The 19,013-nt window shown below is 56.2% G+C and overlaps 1 protein-coding gene across 9 annotated transcripts in view; it reads left to right on the top strand.

Annotated features, from left to right (window-relative positions):
* The window catches only part of HSPG2 (heparan sulfate proteoglycan 2), a 115,067-nt gene that overhangs the window by 30,004 nt on the left and 66,050 nt on the right, over nucleotides 1-19,013 (top strand). For 4 of the 9 annotated variants that reach the window (NM_005529.7, XM_047419090.1, NM_001291860.2 and 1 more), the window contains exons 2-6: nucleotides 10,997-11,132; nucleotides 11,341-11,385; nucleotides 16,613-16,722; nucleotides 16,822-16,880; nucleotides 17,166-17,326. In NM_005529.7, the coding sequence (NP_005520.4) occupies nucleotides 10,997-11,132; nucleotides 11,341-11,385; nucleotides 16,613-16,722; nucleotides 16,822-16,880; nucleotides 17,166-17,326 (511 nt within the window). Of the gene's footprint in view, nucleotides 1-8,762; nucleotides 8,982-10,996; nucleotides 11,133-11,340; nucleotides 11,386-16,612; nucleotides 16,723-16,821; nucleotides 16,881-17,165; nucleotides 17,327-18,588; nucleotides 18,640-19,013 lie in introns of those variants that run through there. The other 5 variants (XM_047419091.1, XM_017001120.1, XM_017001122.1 and 2 more) reach the window with 3 other exon arrangements.

Raw genomic sequence — 19,013 nt, 5'->3', positions numbered from 1 at the left:
CAGCACCCCCTTACCTGCATGGTCGCCGGCCCTGGGAGTGAGCCCCTGCCCCGGTCTCTGCACTCAGCAGCTGAACGAAGCTCTCTTTCTCTCTGGGGCACAGGTACCTCCAGACTTTCTGGAGGGTCCAAGCGGACCAGGAATGACTGGGTGCTGGGCCACCTTCTCTTTCACCTCCGACAGGAGTCACCCCCTGAGAGAGCAGACTGATGGCCAGGGAGGGAAGGCTCAGGCTGTGTCTGGATTTCTCAGGTGACAGGTGTCAATCACCCTGAGGAGAGAGAACACACCCCTCCTACTACCAGCTAGCCGGCCGCCAGCCCGCTTTTCCTTCCATGGGGCCTTGCGGCTTTTCTTATCTTCAAGAGCCTCCTTTACAGAGCCCCTGGGTACTGGGGAGCATATCTTACGTCTAAAATCTTACTTAAGGCTAACTTGAGGGAAAGGCGGGATGGTTGGGGTGGTGTTCCCAAAGTGTGTTCTGTGGAACCCTAGTCTAGTGAGCCTTGCATACATAAAAGGTTCCAAGTTAAGCAACTTGGGAAACACCAAATAGTTGCACGTGACCCCCCCCCACCCCCCAGTCCCATCATGTTGCTTCAGTCATTTAGGACTTAGGGAGGCAGCTCAGCTTTGTGTAACCAGCCTTTCCCAGATGTGTTTGTCTCCCCCGCGCCTATTCCCATCCGAGAGTTTCTGTGTCCAGGAAAGGACATGAAGAAAGCAGACATGGGGCGCTTCAGGACGAGGACCCCTTGCTCTGATTTCCAGCTCTGCTCTCCACAGGCCTATCTCAGCCATGGGCCTGGCCCTGCCTGCCCCTTCCTCTTCTTCCTTACAGCAGATGAGGAAAGCCCAGCCTGGGGGCAGGGGGAGCCGACCTCCTTGGCCACAGCTGCCGGGCTGTTCCAGCCTGTTTTTTCCTGTTGCCGATGCCCACGGGAACAAGCGCTGAGTACAGTCACTGAGGCCTGGCTGTCTGGCTGTGTTGCGCAAGGCCCTGGAGCCAGAGTTCTGGCCCCTGCTCGCCTCCGAGGCCCCCACCCACCCCTCCGGGATGCTCTTCAGTGACTATGGGCAGCCTCTTGTCACCCCAGAGATGGGCTTCCCAGCAGGAAAGTCCCAGGCATCATCGGCGGGACCAGGTGGTATGGAGTTCCTTCCAGGTGTGGAGCCAGGGGTCTTAGGTTCAAGTCTTGGTTCTTCCAACCCTGTGACTATGGGCAAGTTAGCTCTCTGAGCCTCAGGCTCCTCACTTATAAACCCCATTAATTAATTAACTAATTAATTGTTTTTAGAGACAGGGTCTCACTCTTTTATCCGGACTGGAGTACAGTGGTGCAATCATAGCTCACTGCAGCCTCGAGCTCCTGGCTCAAGCAGTCCTCCTGCCTCAGCCTCCTAAGTAGCTGGGACTACAGGTGTGCACCACCACAACGGGCTGATTTTTAATTTTTTTGTAGAGACAGAGTCTCACTATGTTGTCCAGGCTGGTCTTGAACGCCTGGCCTCAAGTAATCCTCCTGTCTCAGCCTTCATTAATTAATTCAACAATTTATTTTTTTAGATGGATTTTCACTCTTATTGCCCAGGCTGGAGTGCAATGGCACAGTCTTGGCTCACTGCAACCTCTGCCTCCTGGGTTCAAGTGATTCTCCTGCCTCAGCCTCCCAAGTAGCTGGGATTACAGGCGCCTGCCACCACACCAGGCTAAGTTTTGTATTTTTAGTAGAGATGGGGTTTCACCATGTTGGCCAGGCTGCTCTCGAACTCCTGACCTCAGGTGATCCACCCGCCTCGGCCTCCCAATGTGCTGGGATTATAGGCGTGAGGCACCGACCATGCGCGGCTGAAAGGTGACATTGGAGCAAAAACTGGAAGAAGTGGAGCGAGTGATGGAATATGTGGGGACAGTGTCCCAGGCAGGGGGCTTGGTGTGTTTGACGACTATTGAGAGGATGCATGTGGCTATTTTAGAAGGCAGGGAGTTGGGGGAGCACAGTAGCAAAAGAGGTTGGAGCGTGGCGTGTGTGTGTGTGTGTGTGGGTGTGTGTGGGTGGGTGTGTGTGTAGACAGATTACATAGAACCTGGTTGACCATGATTGTGTGTGTGTGTGTGTGTGTGTGTGTGTGTGGGTGGGTGGTGGGTGTGTGTGTAGACAGATTACATAGAACCTGGTTGGCCATGATAAGGGCTTTTCCTCTCACCCGTTGGTGAGTCAGGAGTCGTGGGAAGGCCTAACCCGACAGGTTCAGGAAGCGGCCGTGGTTGTTAGTGGTGTCTCATGGCAACATAACTTTGTGGAACATTCCGCCCATCCTTCCATAGTCCTGGCACTGTGCAAGGGGCATCATTCATGAAATCTGTGGGCAGTGACCCAGGAGGGTATGGGCAGGCCCAACCAGGTTGGTGTGCCCTTGAAGCCCCACAGACCTGCCAGGGCAGCAGGGCAGCTGGGAGCCGGAGAACCTGAGAACCAAGCCAGGCTGCATGCAGGAGGCTGGCACGTGAACGCTGCAGGTGTTGCCGGCAGCCGTGGTGCCTGGCAGATAGTGTTCGACCCCCAGGGACCTTCTTGCTGGGCAGCCCAGTCCAGAAGCTGTTCCCGCTTAGGCCACCCCCACCGCCTTGGCCACACCTGGCACATGGGTGAGGCAAGGGCATTTCCCGGTGGCTTCCTGGTTCCCTGTAAGCTGGCAGGCAGCTCATTCAGCCACCAGGGGAGACCTAATCTTGGGGTGTCTGTGGGGGACGGAGGAGAGTGCAGGGACTCTGGGGGTACAGGGGAGACTTGGCCTCTGTGACTAGCACCGGGTCAGCAGCACAACTGAGGGGCGGCCCTTTTAAATGGAAAAGCCCACTCGTGCCGCCCTTTGACTCCTCTGCCACTCACACGCGTGTCCCGCTGCACCAGGCTTCCTCCCACCCCGCGAACGTGCCGTGCCCTCTCCAGCCCTGGCCTCAGCGTGTGCCCTTCCCTCCACCTGGTCCGCACTCTTCCCCTTCTCTGCTTTGCTTAGGTGAAGTCATCTCTCAGGCCCAGCTGAGTTAGCATTTCTTCTGGAAATCTTCCCCAGCCTCCCAGCCACCTCCCTAAGTGAGGGGACCCTCCCCTGGGCTCTGCCGGCCCCCTTCCTTCCCCTTCAGCACTCTCTTCGCACGGTGTTGCCAGCACGTGGTTCCGTGGCCTGTGTCCCCCAGGAACATGGAGTTCTGTGTCCATTTCACATTTTGTCCCCCGGGCCCAGCACATAGTAGGTACCCCGTAAGTCGAGGTTGAAGTGACTTGAATTGAACCAAATGGGACAGATCTGATCGATTCTACTTTTTTTAAGGATGAGGAAGCTGAAGCCCCCTAGCTAGAATATGGCCAGGGTGGCCCGGACTTGGAGGTGTCTGACAGCACAGCCTGCTCTGCCCCACCGGCTGGTGGTCAAGTGTTCTCGCCAGTCCCCTGCCTGGTCAGTGCCAGACCGGGTTGGGTGCCCACCCCTAGCTATGTCATAGGAGCCTCCAAGGCAGAGACCACATGGGGCCTGCCTGGAGAAGGGCCAGGCAGATTCAGAGATTGGGACTGTGCCTCTCAAAGAGATCACCGCCTCATTCCACATGCCTCTCCCAGTAGCCCCAGGAAGGAGGCAAAGCGGGGACCTTTTTTTGCTTCCATTTTATTTATTTTTATTTTATTTTATTTATTTATTTTTTGAGATGGAGTTTTGCTCTTGTTGACCAGGCTGGAGTGCAGTGGCGCAATCTTGGCTCACTGCAACCTCTGCCTCCTGGGTTAAACGATTCTCCTGCCTCAGCCTCCAGGGTAGCTGGGATTACAGGCGCACGCCACCACGCCCAGATAATTTTTGTATTTTTAGTAGAGATGGGGTTTCACCATGTTGGCCAGGCTAGTCTCGAACTCCTGACCTCAGGTGATCCGCCTGCCTCTGCCTCCCAAAGTGCGGGGACTACAGGCGTGAGCCACCATGCCCGGCCTTTTGCTCCCATTTCATAGCGGAGAGAACTAATTCTTGGAGGGATTGTTCTGCAGGGACAGGGGTGTCTTGGAACGGATTTCAGGGCCCGTGTGACCTAGTCCCCTCTTTCCCTTAGGATGAAGTGTTATGGCCTCTGTCGTATTAATGGGAACTGAGGACTAGAGGTAATTCTGGCACTTTCAAGCTGTGTAATCTTGGGCAAGTCTCCTTCTGAAGTTAGCTTTCTTCTGTCAGGTGGGTTAATTTCCACCTCAGGGCTGTTGGGCAGGTTCATTCATTTGGTTTGTCCGTGAGTCCGCAGATTTATTAGTACCTACTGTGTGTTTTCTGTTGTGGAGTTGCAGCAATGCTCAAAACAGATCAAAGTCACTGCCTTCCACGTGTTGTTCACATGGACTGAGATGGTGGGTGTGGATGCCCAGTGCATACAGTAGAGACTCACTAAAGTTAGCTAAAAGGTAAAGGAGGCAGGGGCTTGTCCAAGGCAACGTGGTGAGTGCGGGGCTAAGCTGGGACTAGAAACTCCAGACCCCAGCTTCCTGCCCTCTGGGCCTCCGCTGAAGGCCCTGACCTGCCCCAGCGCTCCCGAGAAGCCCTGGATGGAATGCAGCTTTTCCAGGTTGCAGGCCTTGATATGAGCTTACAGAGGGCAAGGGGTCAGAGGTCAGAAGCAGGGCCCTGCTGGCAGCTGTGCCTCTGAGCTAGCCAAATACAGAAGCATGAACCCAGCAGAGGGGAGTCCTGGTTTCAGACTCCGTTCCCATTGCCTTTGCTGTGTGACCTGGAGCAGGTAACTGTACCTCTCTGAGCCTGGTTTCCTTATCTATCAAATGAGTGTGCCTCCAGTGTCTCCCTCGTGAGGTTGTGGTGGATCTGAGTGACGTAAGTCTTGTGAAGACCTTAGCTCAGCCCCTGGCACAAAGAAGCCCTGGATGCGTGTTGGACCCTCTCCTTGTTTGGGGGCGTCCGTATTTCTCCTGGCTGACTGGCTGGTGAAGTTCCTGCCACCTTGGGGGCCCCTGTGTGAGAAGCTGGCAGGCCTCCCGAGTGGCACGGGCAGCACAAGCATGCCAGAGGAGGCTGTGGCCACCTCCCTTCCGGCCCGGCGCCCCTCTCAGACTGCCAGGGGATTAAAGGCCTTTTGGCCTTTGTGTCGGGCTCTGAGCCCCTGGCAGTTTGTACAACAAAGTGCTGCCCCGACAGATTCCTTCCTGTGTGCTGTCTGTCGCCTGTGGACAGGGCACTGGGTGGCCTGGGGGTGGGGCAGGGCACCTTGATCCTGTGTCTGGGGCCTGGGTTGCAGCCGAGTAGGGGAAGCACTTGTTTTGGGGTTACCTAGGAGCCTGCATCCTGGCAGAGGGGGATGGGGACCTTGTCTGGGTTCATGTCCCTCCCCAGAGATTTGGGGACCATGGGTCACATTGTCTGCTGGTTCCTTGGCAGTGGGCAGGGGAAGGGGCACTGAGGCAGAGCCTGTGGTGACCGTGGCAGGGAGGCAGGTGGGCAGGCAGGAGCTCTTTTGTCCCCCCGCCCCTGCACTGTCTCTGGATTTTGATGGGGTGAGCTCACTCCATCCCCACATGCCTGGAGCCTGGCCCTGGGCAGCTGCAGCCGCCCTGGGGACTGTGCAGTGCTCAGACCTTCCTGCCTAGCTGCGGGGGCAGTCGGGGGCTCAGTCCCAGGCTTGGGCTACAAGGAGGGTGGGGTGGACTGGCTGCTGAAGGCATGTGAACAATGTGTCTGGAGAAGCCCAAAGCCCTGGGTTGGTCCCAGAGTCAGCCTCTGAGCAGGCAGACAACTTTGAGCCATAGGACCCAATTCTATTGCCCACCCCTTGCTAGGGTCCTGCCCACTCAGCCAGGCTCCTCCCTTCATCCCAGATCTGGAGGCGACCCCAGGCCTGAGCCCACACCTCACACTCCGCATGCATCACCCCTCAACCACACCTACCCCTCACCCCTACCATGCACCCTCTGCATGATACTAATCCTAATGCTTATTAAGCACTTACTGTATAAGTAATTCTAGTGCTTATTAAGCACTTACTGTATAAGTAAACGCCTCACTAAGTGCCTTACCTGCTTGATCCCATTTACCCAGCCGATTCTCTCTGAGCCTCAGTTTCTTCATCCAGAAAACGGAAATAATAATAACACAAGCTCACAGTTTCTTGACCGAAAGCCTCAGAGTCAGATGTGTTCTGGAATTCAGAATTTTTCAAGTTTGAGAAGGTGACATAGAGCATGTGCCCAGCCGGCATGTGACATCCCCATTGGAGTCTGGGGGTCACACCCCATGATCAAACAACGGTAATATTGCTACAGTGAAACACAGGACTCTTCCCTCTGAGTGGAGTGAACACACTCTGAATAGCTTCATGTCGGTTCAGTTCAGGGCTTGGCACCCAATGAGCTTGCTATAAACTTTTTTTTTTAACAGAGTCTTGCTCTGTCGCCCAGGCTGGAGTACAGTGGTGCAATCTCGGTTCACTGCAACCTCCGCCTCCTGGGTTCAAGCAATTCTCCTACCTCAGCCTCCCGAGTAGTTGGGACTATAGGCATGCACCACCGCGCTGGGCTAATTTTTGTATTTTTAGTAGAGATGGGGTTTCACCCTGTAGGCCAGGCTGGTCTCGAACTTCTGGCCTCAAGTGATCTGTACCTGCTCTCCGTATCTGTACCTCTCCCTCCTTCTCTCCATTCTGTGCCCCACTCCTGTAGTTTTCTCCTCCGTTCTTAGTCCTTTCCTAGGCAGCCTTGTCTGCCTCTTTATCCTCACCCAGGCCAGGAGAGGAGGATCCAGCCTGCATTCATTGTCCCTAATGACACAACTTGGACCTGGAGTTCCATGTGACCCTCGTTCTCACCAGGAGGGCCTGGACATAGCCCACCTCTGGGATTGGGTGCCTCCCAGAAGCCCTCGCCCACAGTCCTGCCAGTGTTCAAGGAATGCCTGCCCACTGGGGGTCACCCTGCCTGCATCCCAGCCCCAAGCAATTGTTCTCAGCCTGTTAGAACAATTCTCTGGCCTGGGCCCGGTTGAGTCAGCTGCCTGCACACCGCCAAACCAGGAACTGCAGGGTCTGGAAAATCCCCCTCTCTGCTTAGCTCCTTCCTCTCTGGCCGAGGTCTGACCCCTAGACCCCTCCTCTCCAGCTGCCCGTCTGGCTCCAACACATGCCTGAAGTGCTGGGTTCCTCTGGGAGGAAGCCGGGCTCCCTCACCGCCGGAGACGGGCTGGAGGGCAGGAAACCTGGGTTCTATTTCTGACCTTGGAGCTGCTAATGGCCCTCCTTGGGACCTGAGGCACATGCTGCACAGTCCCAGGCCACTGCCAGCTCAGGCATCCCATGGGGCCATTCTGAGAGCTGGTCAGGTTGGGGACAGGGACTGGCCAACCCTGGGCTCCCTGGTATTGCTCTCTGCTTAGGCCTCATGGCCAGCCCAGAGGTCCAGCCCTGCCTCATTTCCTGGTGAGCAGAAGGCTTGGGGTGGGATGCCAGCTCCTCACCTGTGGTCTGGGCAGACACGTCTCCCGGGGCTCACTGGGGAAGGGGAGCATTCATACCTCCTCAGCCTCCTCCAAGGGTCACTGTCAACTCAGGTGATACTAGGCTGAGGAAATGCATTGCAAAGTGGCATGCAGTGTGGCTGAGAGGCTTTGCAAGAGTGACTCCCAGTGATCTCATATCTGCTTCATTGCATACCCCTGGTCACAGAGGTGATATAGCACAGTGGTAGCTGCTTAGGTATTGGAGCCCGACCACCAGGGTTCAAATCTCAGCCCTGCCACATGCCAGTTTCCACGGGTAACCTGACTTTCTCTGCTCTCTTTGCCCCCTTTCTCAGTGGAGCCCCATAAGACCTATAACCTGGTTTAGGAGTGCCTGGTGCATAGTAAGTGCTCAATAAATGTTAGCTGTTATTATTCTTCAAGCAGATCCTGGTCTTTCCCTTTCTGGGTCCAAGGTCCTTCTATGGTCAAGTCCCAAGTTCCTTTTGGCTCTTTCTGGGAGCCTCTTTCCTGTCTGGTTCCATCTGCTCTCCCAGATGTGAAATACAGAGCTCCTGGAACCTTTTGATCTTCAGCTTTTTACAAATGAAGTCTCTGCTCTTGCTGACTTATTCCTTGCTATGGGCCCTTATCTGACCCTGGATCCTCAGACCCTAGGGTGGGGGCTGCAAGCAACAGCAGACTGGCAGATGGAGGGACCCGTGCTCTGGAGTCCTCTGGTGGAGTGTGGGGCACTTCTGTCCAAGTCCCGACGTGCTCTGGCCTCTCTTTCCCCTCTCCCTGCAGATGTGTGTTCCTGGCTTTCTTTCCATGTTGAATCTCACTTTGCTATTTCCTGTCTGGTCCCAAGGCCACCCCCGCCGCCACCCGCTGACCAGCTCCCTGCTCCCTGGGAAAAGCTCTGGACCTTGCTCATCATTCACCGCTAGGTTTTCCTTTCCAGACGGCAGTGTCTAGGAGATGCTGGGAGTCGCAGTGCTCCAGGCATGCCCTCCATAACCTTGGTTGCAATGAGAGGGGGATTGGCATTGACAGAGCCCCCCACCAGGTTGAGGGGACCCCTCAAATCTCCTCTAACCAGAGTCAGTGCCCCTGCACCAGCCCCAGCCTCATACCCACGTTGGGTCAGTCAGGCCTGCTCCAGCCAGTGGGAACACTGCCCTTTACCCCACCCAGGGAAGGAGGCAGAGCGCCTGGTAGGGGCTGGTCTTACGGTTCTAACCAGGGACTGTGGGAATCCCCTGGACATGCACAACTAAGACCACCCTCCTGGGATGGAAAAACCTGACTCACTGTCTCTGAGAAGGAGCCCAGGAATCTGCATTTCTCACCAGCTCCTGGACGTTCTAAAGCACACTCCTGAATGCGCATCCCACGGGCACAGCCTAGAAGTCCACAGGCCAGCACTCAGGAGGACAGGGAGAGGGCAGGGAGAGGAGAAGGAACAGGAGGCAACATTTGCCGCTGGATTGTTGGGGGTAAGGGCTTTAGGCCAAAGCAGGAATAAGATGTGGACAACTCAGACCTTCCCCAAGGTCTGAGAGCACCGCAAACACAAAGATGAACAAATGGCACCCAGCCACTCCCCCATCCAGGGAGCTCACAGCCTAGGACAGGAGATGCTTATAGATTGCACAGAGGTAGGTAGTGCCTCCCCAAAGCAAGTCATCTTCACAGAGTGACTGGAATTCATAGGTGATGAATTCCGTTTTTGTCCGTTCATTTATTCATTCATTCAAGTATTTATTGAGCACAGGGTGCAGAAAAGGTGGAGATGAATTCATCACAGCCCTTGCCTTCAAGGTGCTTCCATTCCAACGGAGGTACAGACAATAACCTTGTGAGCCCAGAACCAGACTGGGGTTGAGGTCACTGTGAACAGCAAGGAGTCGGGACAAAGAGAGTTTCTTTCTAGTCATCCTTATTTAGGCATAAATACACACAACAAAATATACCCATTTTCAGGGTACAGTCAGTAATGAGATATGTATGCCCAGGGAACCATCACCCCAGAAGTGTCTCTTGTGCCCCCTTCCCAGTCACCCCCAGCCTGCCCTTGGTCCCAAGTGACTACTGATCTTTCTGTCACTATGGATTAGACTTTCACCCCTAAGGGTTCATATAAATGGAATCGTATAGTTTGTAGTCTTGTGTGTCTGGCTTCTTTCAGATCCACACCTATCAATCAGTGGTTTGATCCTCCTTATTCCTGAGTAGGTGGAGGAGGTGGTATTTAAGTTGATTTTGGAGGATGCATTGGAGTTCGCCTGAGAAACAAAGAGAGGAAGGGCATTCCAGCAGAGGGCCCGGCGTGAGAGATATGGACTGTGGGAGCAGTAGGGGTGGGGAGGGAAGGGGGCCTGGCTGGCTCTTTGTTTTTTTCTCCTCCTTGGCCTTTGCTCTGGCTTGGACCTCACTACCTTGTCTAGCCCTTGTGGGTTTGGTTTTCAAAAGCGAGACCATTTCCTTCTGGCTTAAGGCCAGGGCAGGGCCTGAGGCCCTCATGCCAGGCCATTGCCAGTCTGTGCATACTTGTGCTTGTGGAATCTGGGGTCCAGCCATCGTGAATCTGCACACTTGAGGGCCACGGGGTTCCCTTGGGCTCCCCTGGGTTTGTTTTCCTCTAAGTTATTTGGTAAAACTGCTTTGGAATCATCCGGATCTTGTCTAGGGGGAAGAGGCACTCATTGCCCGGACCCACACCTGAGAAGGCAGGTGTTATGGCTGCTGGGGCCCTTCTGCTCCGGCCCACATAGTTTGCAGGCCCCAAGGTGGAGCTTATCCTGGGCTCGGCAGCAGCCTGAGGTCACGTGGAGTTGACACCACGCCTGTCCCCATTCAGCCCAGATACTGAGCTCTGCCTCCGCGCTGCTGGGCCCAGGGATGAGCCTGTCAGTGTGGCTGCATGTGCCAAAGCTAATTCTCCAACACAGTGGAATGTGTTCCCTGCAGCCTGGAGACGGGCAGGCCAGAGTGAGGCAGGAAGAGGAGCCAAATGGCCTGGGGAGGAGCTGCCTGGGGAGGCAACGGCTTTGAGCAGCTCGCCCTTGACTTCTGCCTGTGTCCCCACCCATGCTGACCCTGGCCAGCCTTCCACCTGCCTGTGCCCCCCATCTGCGCTGCCCGAGGCCACCCCTTTACCCGCCCGCATCCCCCCATCCACTCACTCATGTCCTGGGTGTCCCTTGCCTTCTCCAAAGGAAAAGGAGTCTTTACTTACCAAAGTGATTTACATTTTATTGTCTGCTTTATTTGAGGATTCATTCGGAAATAGCAGGGTTGGGCTCTGAAGCCTCCAGGGGCTAATGGGACTTGGGGAAACTGAATCAAAAGGGTTCAGCCCCAGCCTGGCTCACTGAGCCATACTAAGTCAAATTTAACCACTAAGGGGCCTGAAGGTGGGATTCTGGGTCCCCCTGGAAGTGAGGGGAAGGACCGTGGGGCTCAGTGGGAGCTGGAGAGAGTGACTCAATCAGCTCTCGTTTGCTTACAGGTGACCCATGGGCTGAGGGCATACGATGGCTTGTCTCTGCCTGAGGACATAGAGACCGTCACAGCAAGCCAAATGCGCTGGACACATTCGTACCTTTCTGATGATGAGGACATGCTGGCTGACAGCATCTCAGGAGGTGAGCCAAGGATCCAAGGCTGGGAGCAGAGGGGTGGGGGGTGAGACTGTGCTTCTTCCCACTGGCATGGGGGAGGAGGGTGACCGACCATTCCGAGCTTTCTCAACCCTGTCCCACTGTATACTAGGTGCCCAGAACAGTGCCTGACACCCAGTAGGTACTCAACAAATACTTGTTGTTGCTGATTACATCTCTTTTTTGCTTATAGACGACCTGGGCAGTGGGGACCTGGGCAGCGGGGACTTCCAGATGGGTAAGTTGCTGCAGGCCTCCTGCAGGTCTCCCTCCTGTCCCCCAGGGAAGCCCCAGAGCCAGTCTCCTGGGCTGAGGGCTCCTTGGGCCTGCCCTGGGGTACAAAGCAAGAAGAAGTGGGTGTGATCTCTTAACCTGCTGAGTGACAGTTGTGCAGACTGATTGGCAGGTCCCTGCAAGGCTGGTGTGGCCAGGTCCTGTGCTTGCCCATGCCACAGGCACAGGTATCAGGGCACTGGGCAGGTAAAGCCCAGTTCTGCTGGGGACTGACAGCCAGTCAGCTGTTTCACATTCAAAGCAAAGTTCTCACCTCCCAGGGCAGCTCAGCTGTTGAGTCCTTCCCCAGAGCCCTCCTGGGGGCACAGAGCTGGGGATCCCAGGCAAAGACAAGTGGAACAGAGGGGCTCTGTGGAATCGGGCATTCAGGCAGGCAGCAGGGCATGCAGAGCACAGATCGAGCCTGACGCTAGGCTTGGGAGAGAACCTTGCCTTAAGGTGGGTCATCGGCTGGGAAGCAAGGGTTCCTAGCTTAGGGAGGCAAGGCTAGGCTCTTGGAGGGAGGAGAGTCAGCCCCCACCCTGGTCAGACTGGCCCAGCACTGGGATGGGGACTTATAGTCCCTGCTTCCTTCCACTCTGGGATACTGGGTGGAGAAGGACCTACCCCAGGACAAGGCCCTGTGGCTCTTTATGGTTCCTACTGCCCTCTCTGGGAGGCAGCTCCTGGGACAATCTGTGACCAGGGCCAAGGATGGAGCAGGTGCTCAGGTCAGACCAACTACTGGGCCATCCCGTGGCATCCAGGGCTGCCTTCACCCTAGGCAGGCCTTGGCCAAATCTGGCCTGGGCCTACTTCAGGGGTGGAGTCACCTCCCTTTAGCTGACATATCCGGGGCCTTCAAATGCCAGTGGGTAGCATCCTAACTGGGTCAGTGTAGACAGGAGGGTAGGTCACTGGGTAACCTGGTCCTGACTGTGACCTCCCAGAGCCTGGACTTGGGGCTCTGCCTGAAGGTTTTCCATTTCCATGTGTAGGTCTCCACGAGGCTGCAGGATGCCTGGGAGCTGGGTGGGGCTTGGGAGAGGGAGTGTCAGGTGGGCCCCAGGCACACATGGCACGTCCCGTCCTGGAATGGCCTATGCTAATGTGTCCCTGGAGCTGCCTCTGGCCAAGCCAGGCTTGCCTCTGAGATCACCCTGTCCATTCATGAACCATCTCCAGCCCCTCCCCGGGGGCTGCCCACTGCAGCAGCTCTGCCCCAGCTGGGCAGTCCTGGCCAGCCCACCTGCCCTTCCTGAGAAGCAGCTGTGAGGGCAGACGAGGCCAGAGGGGGAAGAGGTGGGGAACAGGGCACAGCAGCTGTAGGGGGCCCAAGACCAGGGTAGGTGCCTTTCCTCGCAAGTGGGAACAGGTGGGGCCTCAGACCCTCCAGGCCAAACCCTGGCTCCTGCCAGCTGCCCTTGGGGCAGGTCCAGGCAGCTGGGCTGAATGCCAGTCAGGGAGGCAGCAGGTGTGCCTCCCTGATCCTGGGGTCCCAGGGTGCCCACTCAGACTTGACCAAGGGCAGTGCCCCCACTGCGCCCATGAGCCAGAGCCATCCTGCCTGTCATGGGGCCATGCCTAGCCTCTGGCCCAGTCCCAGACCCTGGACTCCAGCCCCTGAGATGGCTCTTCCCCTCCTCCCCCTGGGCATGGCTGTGGCTCCCTGGCTCAGCTCCAGCCCCCTGTGTGTCAAGACCCGTCCCTGATAGCCTCCCCTCCCTAGGACCCCTTCCCACGTCTCCTCCCCCAGTTTCTTTCCATGTTCTGACCTGTCTCTTTCTGTCTTCCCCCATGCCCGTGTGTCCTGCTCTGACCCTTGTCGGCATGTCTGTGTGTGTCCCCTGTCCTCCCTGCCCTGGGCCCTCTTCCCCACTCCTTGAGTGTCTGTCTCTGCGCCTCCTCCCTCTGCCTCATCCTGTTCTTCTCCCTCTCTCTGGCTCACCATCTCTGCTTCTGTCGCCCTCTGTCTTTCCCTCTCTCCCCTCTGCCTGTTCTTTTTTTTTTTTCTTTTTCCCTCTGCCTTTTTCTTCACCTTTGTCTTACCTTTTCTCTCTCATTCTCCCCCGCCCCACTTTCTTTATCTCTGTCTCTGTCTTTCTGTCTCTTTGTGTCTCCCTCTCTCTTGCAATGTCTCTGCCTCTCTCTCTGCTTCTCTCCATCTCGTCTCCCTCGCTGTCAATGTCCCTTCTTGCCTCCTTCTCTGTCTCTACTCTGCAGGCTCAGGGCAGCCCCTGGGCCGCCCGCCCGTGGCTGGCATGATGGTCTCGGAGCCTGATGAGGAGTCCCCTCTCAGTAAGTGACCCAGGCCCTGGCCAGGTGGGAGCGCTGCTCTCCCTCTGCCTCCCTCCCCATCCTCTCTCCCCACTCTTCCTTTTCTCTCCTTTCTCCCTGTTCTCTTCCTCCCCAACCTGCACTTTGCTGCGAGTCACACAAGAGGCTCAGAGGCACCTCCCTGCAGAGTCCAGGGGCTAGGCCAGCCACTGCCCCTGCCCAGGACACAGCCAGGCCCACCCTGGGCCCACAGATCTAAACACAGTGGGCTGGAACCCTGGCGGGCGTTCTTCCCCATGGGGTGTTGACGGGCAGAGATGGGTGCAGCAGCCCTGCAGGGACCAGGCCCTGCATTCCAGAGGCCACTTGTGTCCACCCCAGCACAGGCCAATCCTGGGCCCACCCGAGGGACCCACAGGGACCCAGGGCTGGAGTTCGGGGGCCTGGGTGTGTTGCAGAGAGTTCTGTTGAGCAGGGATGGGAATCAGGAGTTGGTGAGTAGCCTGCTCCGGGGCCAGGGCTAGTCAGGTGTGCAGCCCCCACTTCTACCCTGAGTGCAGGGCAGCTGTCTCCCTCTCCCGGCCTCTGGCTCCAAGGGAACTCACCAGATAGGGTGAGAGGAGGGAGAGGACTGGCCAGAGAGCACCCCTATTCCAAGGCAGCCTCGCCCCTGCTGGCTGCACCAGTGTCCTTGGCTCTGGAGGCTGGTTCTTTTTTCCTTTTCTTTTCTTTTTTTTTTTTTTTTTTGAGATGGAGTCTCACTCTGTCACCCAGGCTGGAAGGCAGTACAGTGGCACAATCTCGGCTCACTGCAACCTCTGCCTCCCTGATTCAAGCAATCCTCCTGCCTCAGCCTCCCGAGTAGCTGGGATTACAGGCATGCACTACCACGCCTGGTTAATTTTTGTATTTTCACCATGTTGGCCAGCCTGGTCTTGAACTCCTGACCTCAAGTGATCTGCCGGCCTCGGCCTCCCAAAGTGCTGGGATTACAGGCGTGAGCCACTGCACCCAGCCCGGGGGCTGGTTCTTGAAATAGAGGTGGCCTCACCTTCTGCCCCAGTGCTCAGGCACCAGCTGCAGGGTGGGAGATGGGAGGTGTTCACCCAGACCTGCCCTTGGTCTCGAAGAACGAAGCGGGGTGGGGTCAGGCTGAAGGGCCTGTGCCCTTCCCAGGCCCTAGTAGAAAGGGGCTTTGTGGAGCTCCAGTCCCCTTCCCCAGGAGCGGGCACATTCCTGGGCAGAGGCCCGGCCTCCTCGCCCGCGCTGGGCCGTGGGGCTGAGGCCAGGGGCTTGGGTGGGGGGACTCTCAATGGGCCTCTGTGCTGGCTCACAAGGGGCCTCTGTGGCTGAGCCATGGCCCCCACACTCCAGCCCACAGAGCCCCGCCCACCCGGCACCCAGGAGCCTAGCCCAGCGGTTCAGGGCAGGCAGCGCCAGGGCTTTCTTCACCTGAGCCACAGAGCAAGAATGTCCTGTGCACCTGCGGGCCTGATGGACAGAGTAAAGCGGGAGGAGGATGGGCCTGGCAGTAGCACAGACAGTGCCACTCCCTGCTCTGCCACCTACACACCGGATTTCAGATTTTTGGATTAGGGATGCTTGGCTTGTATATGACTCATTTGTCACTCTTATTCATTCATATCTATCACATACATGAATTCACAAATATTGTGAAACGTAATGAGCATAAAATGTCTCATATATAGTCGGTGCTTAAGAAACGATAGATGTACTTTGGGAGGCCAAAGTGAGAGGATTGCTTGAGCCCAGGAGTTTGAGACCAGCCTGGGCAACATAGCAAGACCCCATCTCTATCAAAAGTCAAAACATTAGCTGGGCATGGTGGCATGCACCTGTAATCCCAGCTACTCAGGAGGCTGCAGTGGGAGGATAGCTTGAGCCTTAGAGTTTGAGGCTGCAGTGAGCTGTGATTTTGCTACCGCACTCCAGCGTGGGTGACAGAGCAAGACCCTGCCTAAAAAAAAAAGAAACAACAGATGCATGTGTATGTTCACACCAGTCTGAGATGAATTTATTCAGCCATCACTTTCAAGGAACCCGCTGTGTACCAGGCACGCGGCAGGCACTGGGGATGCGGGCGTGAATGAAATCCCAGGTTCCCCTCCATCAAGCCTAGAGTCTGGTGGTGGAGAGAGGACCACAGCAGCTTCGATTCTTGGGCGGTTTGCTGTGTGCCAGGTGATGCATCTGAGTACAAGGGCCTGGTGCATGTGAGCACAATGTCATGCACTCCTCGCAGCAACCCAGGTGGTACATGCAGTCAATATCCCCATTAGGAAACAGAAACTCAGAGCCGAGGTCAGTGCCTGAGGCATGGCTGACCTTAGAACTCACAATTGTTACTGTGATGTGAAACCTGGCAGAATCTATGCAGTACACGGTGGAAGGTGCTCTGCTAGGGAAAGCAGGGCACTGTGGGAGCCCAGGGGAGCGGTCTCTACCCCAGCCAGGGCAGATCAGGAAGATCAGGAGACAATGGCTGAGCCAAGTCCTGAGGAATGAGTAGGAACTGACCGAGGAAGGCTGGCAGAGCCTTTCCCAGTCACACGCAGGTAATCCCTGTGCCAGGCCAACTCCCTCTGGGAGCCACCCCTTCTTGTCCAGCCTTCCTCTGAACTGTGGGGGTCTCCTCTTTTGCACTAGCACTTGGTTTCTGGATCAGGCCATTTCCCCTGTTAGTTAAAGCCCCTCAGTCAAGTTGGGGCCTTGGCATTGACCCCTGAGCATGTATACCTACAGGCAGTCCTGGGTGTAGCAGTGGGCACACAGGTGTCAGCCTCGAGGGAGGCCTCTGGGGGCCATCCCCCCAACTCTGCCTGAATGGTCCAACTGCCTAAGGCCACTAGATGCCAGGCTGGGGCTCTCAAAATGATCCTCCTTCGATTTTCCAGTTTATTTCCGAGCCCTGGTGAATTTCACTCGCTCCATCGAGTACAGCCCTCAGCTGGAGGATGCAGGCTCCAGAGAGTTCCGAGAGGTGTCCGAGGCTGTGGTAGACACGGTGAGGTGAAGGGGGTTTGGGAAGCTCGCGGGTGTGGCGGGGCAGGACCGAGGATGGGGTGAAGGCCTCTGGGGCTGATGGCACTGTGTCCCTCCCCAGCTGGAGTCGGAGTACTTGAAAATTCCCGGAGACCAGGTTGTCAGTGTGGTGTTCATCAAGTGAGAAGGGGCTCCCTGGGGGCTGCTGGGGGACTTGAGCGGGTAACCTGGAGGGGGCTGATGAGGATGGGAAGGAAGCCTGGCACCGCGGAAAGGCCTATGGGATGAGTCGCTGTGGGTGGAAATTCAGGAATTGGTCGGGGGATCATTGGGACCTTTAGTTGCCCTTCTTTGGGTACAGGCTGTCCCGGAACAGGGCCTGAGCGTCGGGGCGGGAGCCTCATGGAGGAGCTGAGAACACAGGTGTCTCGCTGACCCTCCTCTCCTGCCTGTCTCCATCCCCAGGGAGCTGGATGGCTGGGTTTTTGTGGAGCTGGATGTGGGCTCGGAAGGGAATGCGGATGGGGCTCAGATTCAGGAGATGCTGCTCAGGGTCATCTCCAGCGGCTCTGTGGCCTCCTACGTCACCTCTCCCCAGGGATTCCAGTTCCGACGCCTGGGCACAGGTGAGCCTATCCTGGTGTCTGGGATCGCCTCCTCCAGACTCGTGGGGTCCCCTTTCAGTGTCTCTGCCATAGGCTCCCAACTTGGGCTTGCACACCACTAGAAACAGGGAGCTCACTACTCCTGAGTCTGCCCCATCGATCTTTACACAATCTTGGCTTGGTAGAGCACAGACTGTTTCCTCTAGCACATACCCGTTAGACCCGAGTTCTGCTCCTTCCTTCTAGACCTCTGCACATTGACAATAGGTAATCAGGCCTTTATTTATCCTGTACTTCCAAGTCCAAAACACATTAGTACTTAATAATAATGAGCAACTGTTTACTGAGCACTGACTGCCTTTATTTCCAGCCTCCGGGTCAGTCTTCACAGCAATTCCTATGAAGGAGATGTTATTCCTCCTGTTTCAGAGACGAGGGAACTGAGGCCCAGAAAGGAAAATCTAAATTTGTCCAGAATCAGATGGGCAGATAGTGAAAAGGCGAGGATTTCAAACAAACTCGGTGTCTGTGACAGTCTTGCCAGAACCTGTGATGACAGAAGCAGGAGAAACTGAGGCACAGAGAGACTAGGAAACTGGTCCAAAGCCACACAGCGGTTAGGTGCAGAATCCTGGCCTTTGTACTCTGGGTCAGCCCAGATTTCCTTCTACTGTGCCTTTGGTCTCCTGTTTTAACCTCCTGAGTCTCTTTTTTTTCTCTAGACCGAACAGCCCTAGTTCATCCTTCACAGGTGTGGTTCTCGGCCCTGTCTCCATCTCAGTTCCCTGTCTCTGGGAAGACCCTGACTCAGTGGAACTCAGAATGGAACAAACTCCATCCCCTACTATGGTGTAGCCCAATTAGGAAAAGACAGTGAAACCATCACCTCCCTTGTTCCGCACCTCAATTAAAGCCAAGCGTGGTGGTGCGCGCCTGTAGTCCTAGCTACTCAGGAGGCTGAGGCAGGAGGATCACCGGAGCCCAGGAGTTTGAGGCTGCAGTGAGCTAGGATCATGCCACTGCACTCCAGCCTGGGCGACAGAGCAAAACCCTGCCTCTAAAACAAGACAAACAAACAAAAACCCTTAATTATTGCACCCAGAGATCAAGCTTGCTCTTCTGCATCATCAGGCCCAGGTCTAAAGACTGCTGGGGGTCCAGCCCTCCTCTCTCACTTTTCAATAAGTCCTCCTGGCTAGGGATGGTGGAATGTGGCCCAGCCCTGCAGCCCTCAGCTCCCGGCTCCCAGGTGGAACAGCCACTGATCACATCTTCCTTTCCAGCACAGACCCCCCCACCCCCGCCGGCCGCTGTGGCGGTCGCAGTGACACCAGGTGAGAGTGTAAGCCAGGCCGAGGCCCAGCCAGGTTCCTAGAGAAGTTAAGGTTGGAGAGGAGGCCGGGTGCAGGGGCTCACGCCTGTAACCCCAGCACTTTGGGAGGCCAAGACGGGAGGATTGCTTGAGGCAAAGAGTTCGAGACCAGCTTGGGCAACGTAGCAAGACCCTGTCTCTAAAAAAATAAAAAAGAAGAGAGAAAAAAATTTTTTAAAGGATGGAGAGGAAAGAAGGGTGTGGGCAAGATGGCTGGCTGGGCACAGCCCAAGACAGCTGGGCACTCCCTTCTCCCCTCCTTCTTTGTCCTCACTGGGCCAGGCTGTGGCCTGCATGTGTGTGGTGTGGTGGTTGCATGCGTGTGGCATGTCAACT

This window comes from Homo sapiens, chromosome 1 (assembly GCF_000001405.40).
Source record: "Homo sapiens chromosome 1, GRCh38.p14 Primary Assembly".
Taxonomy (NCBI): Eukaryota; Metazoa; Chordata; class Mammalia; order Primates; family Hominidae; genus Homo; species Homo sapiens.
This window is presented reverse-complemented; position numbering and strand designations above follow the sequence as displayed.